The sequence below is a fragment of the Homo sapiens genome, chromosome 5, assembly GCF_000001405.40.
Source record: "Homo sapiens chromosome 5, GRCh38.p14 Primary Assembly".
Lineage (NCBI taxonomy): Eukaryota > Metazoa > Chordata > Mammalia > Primates > Hominidae > Homo > Homo sapiens.
The window spans coordinates 65469599-65483249 of NC_000005.10; the positions used below are offsets into that span (position 1 = coordinate 65469599).

A 13651-nucleotide genomic window follows, 5' to 3' on the forward strand; every position below is an offset into this window, starting at 1 on the left:
ATTTGTAGAAATTAAGCCTAAATCTTACAAGCTAAGTAAATATTTTGGTTCATTTTACTTAACAGTGATAGAAAGTAGACAATTGGAGCACATTCCTATATACATCTACAGTGAAATGTTTTCCTCCATTGTGTAGTTCTTGATAGTCCTTTCAAATTTAAAACTTATTTAAACCCAACTCGAATTATAGTTATTTTATATTGAAACAGAAATAAGAATATGGGTATGTTATAATAAAAAAGAAAAAGTTTCTGAAAATGTTCCTTGAGCATCAAAATGTTTTTACCCTTTTCACAGATACAGCTTTAATGGAACAGCTACATTAGCCTGAACAGGGTAAACACAGAAGAGAAAGCATGGAAATTTGCTTTGTTTTGCAATTATTACTATGTGCAACTTTGAACTGTGTATTTACCATTAGACTAGAATGGATTCAAATGCCCAGGATAAACCCTGTAGTCTTGAACCCATTTTCTTTTTTCCATTCTTTCTTAAAAATATATTTTTAGAAATGGGTGCCTCGCCATGCTGCCCAGGCTGGTCTTGATCTCCTAGCCTCAGGTAATCCTCCCATCACGGCCTCCTAAAACACTGGGATTACAGACATGAGCCACCTCACCCAGCCTAGAACCCATTTTCTAACTAAAATAAGATTTATATCAATCTTCATATAAATGTATAAAAAATTATCTCATAGACACTGTATAAAAGATTTTACTTCGAGAACTTATAACTGTAAGTAGGTCATAAGAAATTTTAAGATATGTTACCTACCAAAGAAAGATATTATAAAAAGAATGTCAGTGTTGTGGCTTCCTGCCATAATACACATATACATACAAACATACCCTAAAATTCTTCAAAAATGACTGAGTTTTGTTTATGCATAAAAGATATCTTATTTGAACAGAAAAACATAAGTCTAAAGGGAAATCTGAAGTTTTGTTCATTCCTCTTCTAATAATAGAGTTTTAAAAGCTGCCCTTTGAAAAGTCAATACATTATTAAAAAGAAAATCAAAATCAAAGGCAGCAGAAATAGCAAAAAATTTTAAACTATTACCTTCCTACTTAAACTACCTATATATATATATATTTTTTTTTTAATCTGAGGAAAGACATTTACATTGCAAAATTCTTATTTTCCCATCAGAAGTTTAAAATTATAGCATCTACTTACCAACCCAACACAGTTGCTTAAAGCCACTTTAGTTGTACTACGTTGATCTTGCAAATATCCTGTGTAATGACAGTTGTCTAAAAAATCATGTTTCCACTGGGGTCCATCTTTCCCCCAATATTCTACTGTAAAATGTTTGGACACAAAATCTGTGTTGAGAGTCAAGTTTAGATGAAAGTGCTTGCCATAGGCTGAAAGTTTAAAAAATAACTTAGATACTGCCTGCTGTGGATCAATAGGGTCCATACTCCGTCTTCTCCTTGAGTGTTTATCATTTTTCACAGTAAAGCTGAGAAATGCTCCATTTTGATCAACCCTTATTGGAATAGTTAGCTGGTAGTGTTCAAGATAAGTCAGGAATTCCTCTTTGTAATCACAAGGCAGAGAATCCAGAAAAAAAACACATGGAAGAAAAGAAAATTTAACGGAACAAAGAAGCAGCAATATAAACAACAACTATGTCAATTAAAACTATGAATCATTATATGTGAGGTATGTACAAAAAAAGTTATATTAAACAAAAATGAAAGAATAAAAGTTTAAAATCTGAAGATTAAGTTGCCATCATTTTAATATTACTTGTGAAGGACTATTTTACTTTTTTAATTTTTAAAACATGGATCCTAAGAGCTAAATTCTACAAGAAATATTAAAATTTTACTTTGAAATAAAAAATAATGAGAAGCACACATATGTAAAAGAAAAGAGTTTAGCTCAGAATCTGTTTTTGAAAGTTATCCAAAAAAGAATCTCTATAGCCTTGTAGAAATTATTATTTTTTAAGAAATCATCACACGGTGAAACCCCGCCTCTACTAAAAATACAAAAAAATTATCCGGGCGTTGCGGCACACGCCTGTAGTCTCAGCTACTCTGGATGCTGAGGCAGGAGAATCACTTGAACCTGGGAGGTGGTGGTTGCAGTGAGCCGAGATTGCGCCACTGCACTCCAGCCTGGGCGACAGAGCAAGACTCCGTCTCAAAAAAAAAAACAAAACGAAAAACAAAAACAAAAACACGTCAATGGGAATGTAAAATGCTGTAACCACTTTGAGAAACAGTCTGACAATTCCTCAAAATTTTAAACATGGAGTTAACCATATGATCCAGCAATCCTACTCTCAGGTATATACACAATAGAAATGAAAACACACATTCACATAAAAATTTAGATGTGAATGCTCAGCAATATTCATCATACTCAAAAAGGGGAATTAAACCAAATTTCCATCAATTGATGAATAGACAAACAAAATGTAGTATATCCACACAATGCAATATTATTTTACAATAACAAGGAATGCAGTAGTGATACATGCTATGACATGAATGAACCTTCAGAACAACTGTCTTCATAATCAAAGTTCATTATCTAACATTTAAAACATTAAGTAAAAGAGCAAGTCACAATATGCCACATATCATTGCATTTATATGAAATATCCAGAATAGGGAAATCTCTACAGACAGAAGGTTTAGTTGCCTACAGCTGGAGGTGAAGGCTGGTTTGGAGGGAATTTGGAAGTGACCACTAAGAAGTATAGGCTTCTTTTTGGAGTGATGAAAATGTTCTAAAATTGATTATGTTGGCGATGACACTAGTGCCAAAAAATAAGATGAAATAAAATAAAATAGGTTATTGTGATGGTTGTACAATGCCGAAAATACTAAAAACCACTGAATTTTATACCTTAAATGGGTGAATTCTATGGTATGTGTAGTAATATCTCAATAAAGCTATTTTAAAAACAGCTTGACTAAAATTTCAGAGAACTAAATGAGGAACATATTTTCCTCATTTAGATGTACTAAACATTTTCCATCTACCTTCTTAGCTGTACCTTCTTTCAGCTAGATTTACCACTAAGGTAAACCAAATGTCTGCTTATTTGCCTCAGTGTCTATACATGGAGTTTACACACTAATATAAACTCCTATAAAACCATAACCAAATGTAAATAAATTCAAAGACAGTGTTTATTTCACTTCTTATAAATAATTAGAGTTCATACTAAATGTCATGGCTTCATTGATTTACTTTGACAGCCACACTTTTTAACATGGATTTCTAGATACATACATCAATCTGTAATAGTCTTGAAAATCTGGTTCATCGGCACCAAAAAATTATCTATTACTATGTATTCATGGGAGGGAAATCCAAAAGGTATGCCTCTCAATAATTCTATAAGGACTGGACTGGTCCATGGAAAACAAAATGACATTTACTCCTGGGCCTGCTTTGTTAAGATCATTTCTACGATATAAAGCTCAATTCTATAGATTAAAATTATAAAGATTAGAATGTGAAAAGTTGCACTTCTTACAGTTCTCATTCTTACACTCAGATTCTAGTCTTTAGATCAGAACTCTCAGGTTTGCAAAAGTATTTTTTCACAAAGGGTCCATATTAAAAGGGTCCTGTATCATAATTTATCTGGTTTCTTCTTCCACAGCATAAATGTTTGGATTCTCTTTGAACATGTCCTTGCCCATAAACTCTAGTAATGAACAAGCTTATTAAAGTTTAAGTTTCAGAAGAACAAGGCCTGGGGTCTATCATTTTCCAAGAAAGACCAGTCAACTCTAAAATCCACGGGATGTTAAATACTAGTAGGACAAGTTAAACGACGCATAGCCCTTAACATTTATGAAACTAATACCGAATTGACACAGTAGGCCTCTATTCCTATCACTACATATCCCAAAAAAAACTATCCACCCAAACTAAATATGCAGAATCTTTTCTTGTCCAATTAATAGCAATATTTTTTGTCAGTTTCAAAAGCAAGAATCCTACCTTGAGAACTGTATGAAAGCCTGTGGTCACTATGAAATTCCGATGAAGCCATGATGAGGCTCAAAATCCAGGTCAACGTCTTCCACAAAATTTCCATAATTTAGAAAACTGGATGATTTTTTTGAGGGCTACCTATGTGCTAAAGAGTCAATACCATACCAAAATCGAAGCATAACAATTTTATTTCTTTAAAACTTCTTGCAAATTAGTTATTGGATGTTCCACTGTTTAAGAGCCACTTTTATCCAACATCCTGCACTTTCTTCTATATCTGGATTCATTTTCTCAATCCAAAATGAAAAAAATAATGATGGTAAAAGTTTTCATAAGCAAAGCATTAGGCTGATTAGTTACTAAAGTATGGCCATTTTTTAACCTAGAAAAAAAAAAATTTAAGTTAACTGAAAAATATCCAGAATGGAAAAATCCAAGTCCTATATAGTACTGAATCCTTGCCAAAAGACATAACTACAAAATAATATAGTTAAATTAGACCATTGTTAGTCTTTATAGTCTAAATAAACATTCACAAGATTAGACACAGAATTAGAGACCAAAATGGTTATCAGCATAATGCCAGAGTTACTTAATAATCAAATAAGGAATCTAAAGAGAAATCATAATTCTTTTTTAAAAACTTTGAAGATAACAATGATGGGCAATGAGTTAACTTCCTTTTGATAAAATAAAATCGGCTGACTTCACTACTTCAGTTCATTATATGTGACAAACAATATGTAATCCCATTCCATAACATGCCTTTTAAACACACTCATATCCAGATATTGTTGTGTTGCTTTATAAGGCACCTATCATTTTTTTTTCTGACAAAGTAGATCTACAAATAGTGACATTTAGCAGCCATCTGTGAATACTAAGACAGTATCAGAAGCTAAACTTCTAAAAAGTTGAACTGTATGTACTATAACCCTTGACTTTACTCGGAAGTCTTATGTGACTTATAAGGCAACTCGTGAGTCAATTTCAACTCTCTGAAATGTAACTTAAAAGAAAATTTTAAAACTTCATTTCAAGTATTACAACAGATTTCAAGTCCTAGCTCATGTACTTTACATGCAACTAACAACCTCACTCAGAGTCTCCATTCACACTTGATACAGAATAGTATATTTGGCTGCCTGGTTTCCCCGCATACAGCAGATCAGAAGAAGAAAATAACTAAGAGCTAAAAACTAGCCACAAACAGCCAAACTGTGACCAAAAAAAAAAAAAAAAAAAAGGATAAAAAACGAAAATGTAGTTTTAGAACCCCAAAGTAATATAGTTTGGGGTAGAGGCAAATGGGTCTTACATAGTTTAACAGTTCCTATTGTATGTATAACTGTGTTATATAGTTCAATATCTGATACTCATAACACTATGCCTGAGTCCAAAATAAGAAGATAAATGCGTTTAATAAGGTAAGTTACTGTTAGTAAGTTAGGAAAGTACACAAAAGAGATTAGAAAGATTTTCATTCCAAATCCCTAATATATGAAATTTTCACATAATAAATTCTTACTATATATTTGTTGGTTGAAAAAAATGGATGAGTAAAAGAATGAATAAATGAATAGTGGTTAAAATAAAATCACTTTAGGCATATAAAAAGTATTTGTAGTTAACTGTAAAATTAACTTATGTGAAACACTTCATTCCCTACGGTGATAGAAATATTGGTATATACAACATATAAAACAACAACAGCCATTTAAATCCCTTACATTTGTCTCTACAAGTTATTAAACTGCTAAGCCTTGGAAAAGCTAATTCATTAATCAACAAATATTGTCCTACTATGTTTAAAAGATGATGTTATAACAACATCAGAATACAGAAAAGGATTAAGGGAAACAGAAAAGATTAAGATTCAATCCTTGCCCTTGGAGAGCTCATAATCTAAGTAACAAGGAAAAATGTAAGGCAGACTGACAAATGCCGTAATAAGGTCGTGCAAAGTTGTTGCAGGAGATCAGATGAGGGAGATGACTTCTGGGTCAGAGAAGAATGAATCAAGGAATGTTTATGGAAAAAGCATTTCAGATAGATCCCGGAAGACGAATACAATTTTACAAGTCAAATTGCTGGAGGTAATCATTACAAATAGAAGAAATGCATTCCACAAAGTCTAGATAACCAGAAAAAAATGGGAAATAGTAAACAATATTAGTAATAATAGCAATAGCAAATTTTGTTCCTGTGCAAAAAAACTAACAGGTAATAACCAGAAAGGTAGTTTAAGATCAGACCAAAAATAAAAAACTTTAATACATATTGCTTCTTTTAATCTCCAAAACCATCTTGTGAAGTAAATATACTCTGCCCCTGTGGCAGTGTAGACTCTGATGAGCCCAATAATCTGGCTTCCTCATATCCATTCCCTTGCTCCCCTCCTCTTAATTTGATTCTAACCAATAGAATACCTCAACACTGAGGGGATGTCACTTTCGTTATTACATACAAAAGATTCTGACTTCCATCTGCTAGCCACATCTTTCCCTAATTGGTTTAGATGAAGCAAGCAAGCTGTCATTTGTTGAGGCCCACATTGAAGAAACTGAGAGCAGCCTCTGATATAACTAACAAGGAACTAAGGCCCTCAGTCCAACAGCATGCAAGAAACTAAATCCTGTTCAGTAATAGGTGAGCTTAGAAACAGGTTTTTCCCCAGTCAAGCCTTCTGTAAAGACCCTAGTCCTTGCCAACACTTTGTGGCTCATGAGATACCCTAAAGCTGAGGACATAACCCCTAGATTCCTGACCCAGAGAAACTGTGTGATAATAAATGTGTATTGTTTTAACTCACTAAGTTTGTGGTAATTTGTTACACAGCAATTGATAACTAATACAGCCACCAATTCACAAATAAAGAAGCTGAACTCACTGGTCAGATAGGTATAAAACAATAGAGCCCAGATTCACACAAGGCTGTCTGGTTCTAAAGTCTAAATTCTTTGTATTATATCACACTTCCAGTTTAAGGCACTCAAATTTAAACAGTCAACAGTAGTTAATAACAACCAATGTCAAAGAAGATTTTTTTTTTTTTGAGACTGAGTCTTGCTCTTGTCGCCCATGCTGGAGTGCAGTGGCACGATCTCAGCTCACTGCAACCTCCACCTCCCGGGTTCAAGTGATTCTCCTGCCTCAGCCTCCTGAGTAGCTGGGATTACAGATGCGTGCCACCATGCCCAGCTGATTTTTCTGTATTTTTTTTTAGTAGAGATGGGGTTTCACCGTGTTAGCCAGGATGGTCTCGATCTCCTGACATCCTGATCCGCCAGCCTCAGCCTCCCAAAGTGCTGGGATTCCAGGCGTGAGCCACTGCGCCCAGTCGATATATTTATAAGTGGTATTGGTTAGTTAATGTGAATAGTTTTTAACAACTTCACATACAGTCATTGTTTCTTCTTGAAATTACTTCTACACTAATTTAGGCAAGATAGCAGGCATCCTTTCTCAGGTAAAAATTTATAGAGAGATTAAGTTATACCATTATTCAATAACGGCAATAAGAAGAATTCCATTATCTTGGTTTCCAACCTACTTATATACAGATTCCATACTCTAAACCTTCCCATGTAATATTAAAGTATAATTGTCACCTTTTGAACAACATTCATTTTCATTGTTTTAATTTTTTTAGATCACTGGAGTGTTTTGAGTAATAACATCTGACATTAAATTAGTCCCTCATATACTTTAGATTATAATCTTCCTTTAAAAAACATATACTTAACACATTTGAGTTAATTTTCTAGCAATGGAGATAGATTTGATTGAATCATTCATCCCTTTTTCTCCTATTTTTCTAGGTTTTGAAACTACTGAGAAACTTACAATATAGTTGACTGGATTTAGGGAGCAACTATTTTTCCCTCTTGAGAAATGTCCTGCTCTTTTTGTAAATTGTTACAGTTTCATAACCTTCACTCTTACCTACTCTCCTGTAAATGCTCAAGTTAACTAAGCCAGTAGCATTGAGAAAAAAAAGTAATACCTATTTGGCCAGAAGTAGACTACTATATGATTTAAGGATTTGCAGTAAAAAAGGCATTGGTGCATAGTTGAAAAAGCAGGAGCTTTGAAGTTAAACAAACCAGTTATAGTCTTAGTTCCAACACTAGTTATAATAGCTGGCACATGAGTTTCTTTCTCCTTTATCACTCCCTTGCTCCCTCCCCACATTTTTTTTTTTTTTGGCCTCCAGTGCTCAGTGAAGAAACTTAACATTAAGTAAATGAGTCTAGATAGAATTCAACTAAAACTGGCCAGGCATGGTGGCTCATACCTGTAATCCCAGCACTTTGAGAGGCTGAGATGGGCAGATCACCTGAGGTCAGGAGTTTGAGACCAGCCTGGCCAACATTTCAAAATCTTGTCTCTACTAAAAATACAAAATTAGCCAGGCGTGGTGGTGCGCACCTGTAATCCCAGCTACTCAGGGGGCTGAGGCAAGAGAATCACCTGATCATGGGAGGTGGAGGCTGCAGTGAGCCAAGATCACGCCACTGCACTGCAGCCTGGGTGACAGAGCGAGGCTCCGTCTCAAAAAAAAAACCAAACAAACAAAAAAGGAATTTAACTAAAATCAACACAACTAACAAATCTAACTGCTCTTAGTCACCTACACAATAAAAGTGAATGAGTTAACCCACTTTCTGACACCTGGTGGGGAGGTTAATCTGGACACCATAAATATGTAGAGGCTGTGACTTTTCAGATATAGTTTCCAAAGTTCAGACTAACATTGAAATACCAAACAGTTGTCCAAAAATCACAATGCATTGACCTTTTAAATTGTATAGCAGAAACATCATTATGTTGTGGAAAGCACAAAGGCTTTGAGTCCTGGCCTGACCCCCAGTTACTTAACCTCTCTGCATCTGCTTTCTAATCTATAAAACCATGATATTGATGTCTATCTCACAAAGACTTGTTAAGAGATTAGATTACATATGACGTAAAGTGTCTCTGTACTTTAAGCTAAATAATATTAGCCCTCCTTCCTTCATTATCTAACATCACTTTTCAAAGCCCTTCCTTCAAAAATAGTTTCATGTTCCTCTTTCCCTCAAAAATGTGAAATAATAGATATGATGATGGAGTCAATCAACTAGTTATATTGTCTTTTACAGCAAGGAGTTAAGAACTTTGGTCATGATAATGATACTTATAACTACTTTAAATTTGAAAACAGAACCAAAACGTCCATTTCACTTTGATTTCACATATGCTTTTCTCCCTAACACAAATGCACCAGGCAGTAAAGTTAAGGGATCATTTACCTGCTTCCATGGATCAAAGCTACACTACCTAAGAAGAAAAATGATGAGACAACTTGCACTATAGTGATTTCCTCAGTAGTCTGCCCTGATTGGAGGGTATTACTTGTCTTTTTTCCTCTATCATCTTTACTTCCCACTCAAGTGATCGGGGAGTAGCCAAGGTAATAATTTCCTCTTGTGAACTATTATTATGAAGCTAAAGAATGTGTATAATGTTCTTCTCAACTTCTTTCATCCATCTTAACTCTGGTTATTTATTTAAGGCTGATTTGGTCTCCATGGAAGAAACAACAATACCATGCTCCTTTCAGGTGTTTAATTTTTACATATGAAAATTAACTTCTTTCATTTCCATTTATTCTCTCACATTTATTATCACCTACTGTATGCTAAGGACACAATTAGGCTCTAAGTATAAAGGTTTCTAGATCATTTATAAAATTTGTGAGATTGGTTTCCAAGGAAAGGTGAAACTAAACACATAAATTACCCAAAACATATCTATCAAGCAAATGAGCTAAAAGCAAAAATACAAACCATGATTTATAAAACTCAAGCCCTAAATTACATGTAGTCTCACACTTTTTTCCAGATAGCAAGTAAATACACATTTTCTGTATTATAAATTTTTTCTCTTGAGCTTAGCTTGATAATCAACCATGTTTTTTGGCAGAAGCAAGAGAGCTATCCACCTCTTCCCCTCTTTTTCTCCCCACTACCCCCAACACATATTCCAAATATGCTGTTAACTATCTCTTAATATGGTAACTCCCTTCATTCACTCACTAAAGTCACAAACTTGATAAAATTTGGCATAAAGACCCATCCTAGTTACTACTACTAGTGATTACTAAGGAAAGAAAGAGGAAGTGCTAAGAGTAGACAAGAGTAGGAATTAATCTTACAGGTATTGGGACCAGACATAAGGAGTATTACAGTATTTTCAGTCTTCAGGCTAGAAGTTTTTCTTCTTGGGAATCACAAAAATATTAAGACCACTACACAGACTTCATTTGCAGCTGTGGCAAATGAATGAATTTGATTTGTTTGAAATCAACGTATTTGCCTCTAAATGCTATTCTTCAAAAATTCAAAACACTAACGATCACATTTAAGCACAGAATTAACATAAACCAGACTGCAGTTACCACTTTGCTGCAACACAAGAAAACAATTATCTCCAAAATTAATTTTCTTAATTTCTTTCAACTACACCAATTTTGTGTTACGTTTCTTTTCCTGTCATGAATTCTGAAAACTGTCATCCCCACATCTAAACATTTCAGTCTAATCAACAGAAACTAAAAAGAAAGAAAAAAGAACAGAAAATTAGTCCACGACACTTGAACATAAAAAGAACATGTTGAAAATCACACTCAAGTGTCTCTTTTAAAGTTCCAAGCAATGGTTCAGTTTCCCTTTTTCTCTCTGCTCTGCACACCCTCACCTCCCCCCGCCCCCACCATTCCACTTCGCCCAGACAGAGGGTAACAGTCTGAGCTGCCCTGGTTGAGTTGATCCTAAAGTTAACATTCAGCAGCCCATTTCCAGACAGCAGCGCTAAATCTATTTGGATAAAACGCGTGTGACCCAGACAGTTGGCATCTGGCCCAAACGCGTTGCACCGGCAGCTCAAATAAAAACAAGAGTAAGAAACTCACTCTCTTGTTCCCTCTCAGTGCGCTTTCTCAATCTCTCGCTCACTTTTCCTCTAGTACAGGGAAAGAAAGCATCAAAGACAGGAATTGTAGCACATATTATCAGAAAGAGGCTTCCCAATACCCCATTCCTGCACTCTCACTCTCCCTCCTCAATCCCTGAACTTTGGTCCCATACACCATATATACAGACCTACCCCGATAAACAAGGCTCCGGAGGGTTATGAGTCTAGCACGTCCCAAGTGGCCAAAAGTAAATCAAAAACACACGTTTCCATCTCTTTGATTAGCCTATTAAGAGCTTAACATGTCCTAGAGCATCGGGGCTACAGCTAGCACATTAATGCTACCCTCTGAGCCCAGGCATAAAATATGCACTTGTCTGAAGACTTAACGACACTGACATGAAACTACAAAATGCATAAGACTTTTCTGTAAGAAAACTGGAAATCAATTTAAAACACACACATCATTATTACCTTCCGGATTACTATTTGGTGATCAGTTAAAAGATTACAATAATCATAATCAAGTCCACTTCACAAAACATGTATTGTATATTCATAAAATAAACGTATTTTTTTTGCATCATAAAATAACTGCAAGTCCCAGAATTCTACAACCCCCGACAAGTCTGGAGTTAAAAAGATATCTATTTGTAAAATGAGTTCAGTCAAGCTCACTCATTGCCATTAAAAAAAAAAAAAAAAACACACACACAGAAAAAAAGTTTTCTAAGCGTTATTCGGAAGACAAGCAAAGCACAAGTTGTTGGTTTAAAAAAAAAAAGCTCCATTGAATATTGTTAAGTCTTCCTTACCGTTTTCATCTTCAAATTCTGATAAAAAGTAAGTTTCAGACAATAGAGATTGCACTGGACGACTCACGTACTCCCTCTCCTCTCTAACTTTTTTTAATTTTTTTTATTTTTTTATTTTTTGCCCCCCTTTGCAAAGCCACACCAGCCAGTTATTCTGCAGCCAGAATAAAACCCTATGGTCTGGCTAACCCGGGCTTTAGAGAACTGACTTTCCGATTTGGCAGAATAAGAGATGCCTTCAATACATCTAGGCTATCACTCTGAGATGCTGCCTTTGCAAACCCCCTTTCTCTCCCTCCCCACCCCCCAAAAAAGGAAAGGAAAAGAAAGAAAAGACGGGAAAAAAGACTTATTGGGGGTGGAAGTGGTGCCCTCTCTTCCTGGAAAGCTTAGTGCCTTTGCTATGCAAATAACATGTGCAGAGCATCAAAAGGTATCAGGAGAAAAGAAGACAAGAGGAGCAGGAAGGGCAGCAAAGTTTTGTTGAAGTAGCCCTAGATCTCACTACCGGCCCCCAGCCAACTTGAATTGCAGCAGGAGAAAATTTTGGCAGCTTTTCCTCGGAGGCAGAGCACACTGACGTCAGTCTGCAGATGTGCCTGGGCTGCGTCGGGTGCGCATGTGTCCTGGGTCGTCACGTGGAGGGGGAGGGGAGGTAGAGGTACAATCGGGGTAACCAACTACCAGCCATTCAGAAGGGCTTAGACAATGTCAACTTTTCCACACTGTGAATGAGAGAAATTCTGGCCTCTCTAACCTCTCTGTCCTATCTCATTCCGCCTCTTTTCCTCCTCCTCCTCTAAACTCTCTTAGAAATTCTAGCCTGGTTTGCTATTAGTTGTTTCTTGGAAAAATGAAGGGGGAGGGAGAAGGATGAATGACTTTAGATGGACTAATGTCACTGTTAAGATCTCTGGTGTCATTCTCCGTGTAATTTTATTTTTAAAATCCACACAATCAAAATGTTAAAACTTGCACGCAAACAGTGCCTCTGAGGAAACTTAAAGCTTAGATTCGTGCAGCAGGCACAAGACTCAGTAGCTACAAGTGTACAAAATGCCTGTGTTTTATACATACTTCAGCAAGTAAGGTTAGCACCAAAAGGGAAAGTAAACTAAAGTAAACTAATACCAGCACATTTTCCATTTGATTATCGACTTCAGGTTATGTGGAGCTTTAAAAGAAGAAGAAGAAGAAAAAAAAAAAGTAGGGGAGGAGGGAGCGGGGGAAGGAAGAGAGAAGCTTGCATTATTTCCAGATGAGGGTGAGACTGGATGGTGTTTTAAAGTGCAACCGGGAAAAGCCACAAGTGGAGTGTATTTTTTTAAGTCAGTCCATTGAATGAAACTTCAATGACTGCCCAAATGAAAATAAATCCGAAGTAGGACCCCACCACCAAAAAAAAAAAGGAAGGGAAAAAAACAGGAACCCTGCTGCGATCTCAAGATAAACAAACAAAACCTCAAAACTGGTTCTTCAACCTTCCCAATCCCACCCTCCCTCCCCCCTACACACAAGCTGCCAGTCCAGACTTTAAGGATAAAATACCGCTACAATGTAGCACTTTCACTTTCATTTGCTGAGAATGAAAGCCGCTGGGGAGAAAATGCCCAGTGTTTTCCATGTCCTAAGCAAGCAAACAAAGTCTGGCACATACATCGGAAACAGGAAAAAATGTGAAAATAGCTCAGGACAAATGTTGCCTTTCAACGGTGTAATCTGCTGCATCATTTATCTGTCTCTACCATTGAGTGTAGAATAGGGAGCTGTTTAAGAGTTTCCGAGGTTGGGGGCAGGGGAAAATTGACGCCTTGAAATTCCAGCCCTTAGTTAATGCCAAGTCAATTTCCGATGGTGAGAACCAGAAAGGAGAACTGGACCGGAGGGAAGGGGGTAGGAAGGATGAT

At 36.0% G+C, this 13651-nt stretch overlaps 1 protein-coding gene across 11 annotated transcripts in view, besides 4 other annotated features; it reads right to left on the reverse strand.

Moving 5' to 3' along the window:
• The window catches only part of ADAMTS6 (ADAM metallopeptidase with thrombospondin type 1 motif 6), a 333183-nt gene extending 320861 nt beyond the window's left edge, over positions 1-12322 (reverse strand). For 2 of the 11 annotated variants that reach the window (NR_135689.2, NM_197941.4), the window contains exons 1-3: positions 11745-12322; positions 3979-4354; positions 1180-1544 (exon numbers count right to left, since the gene is read on the reverse strand). Coding sequence is in view for 8 of the 11 variants with exons in the window: in NM_197941.4 (NP_922932.2) it covers positions 1180-1544; positions 3979-4075 (462 nt within the window). In the remaining 3 variants the exon portion in view is untranslated. Of the gene's footprint in view, positions 1-1179; positions 1545-3978; positions 4355-10927; positions 11102-11121; positions 11717-11744 lie in introns of those variants that run through there. The other 9 variants (XR_007058575.1, XM_047416676.1, XR_007058576.1 and 6 more) reach the window with 6 other exon arrangements.
• Positions 12075-12434: an enhancer, noted in NCBI's record as "active region_22604". NCBI's record gives its function as "activates an Ori minimal core promoter by ATAC-STARR-seq in GM12878 lymphoblastoid cells {active_cell/tissue: GM12878}" and the evidence as "EXISTENCE:reporter gene assay evidence [ECO:0000049][PMID:35858748]".
• Positions 12075-12701: a biological region, named in NCBI's record as "H3K27ac hESC enhancer GRCh37_chr5:64777627-64778126".
• Positions 12202-12701: an enhancer, noted in NCBI's record as "H3K27ac hESC enhancer chr5:64777627-64778126 (GRCh37/hg19 assembly coordinates)". NCBI's record gives its function as "activates a minimal SCP1, AML or CMV promoter by ChIP-STARR-seq in naive and primed H9 embryonic stem cells {active_cell/tissue: H9 hESC(naive and primed)}" and the evidence as "EXISTENCE:reporter gene assay evidence [ECO:0000049][PMID:30033119]".
• Positions 12475-12524: an enhancer, noted in NCBI's record as "active region_22605". NCBI's record gives its function as "activates an Ori minimal core promoter by ATAC-STARR-seq in GM12878 lymphoblastoid cells {active_cell/tissue: GM12878}" and the evidence as "EXISTENCE:reporter gene assay evidence [ECO:0000049][PMID:35858748]".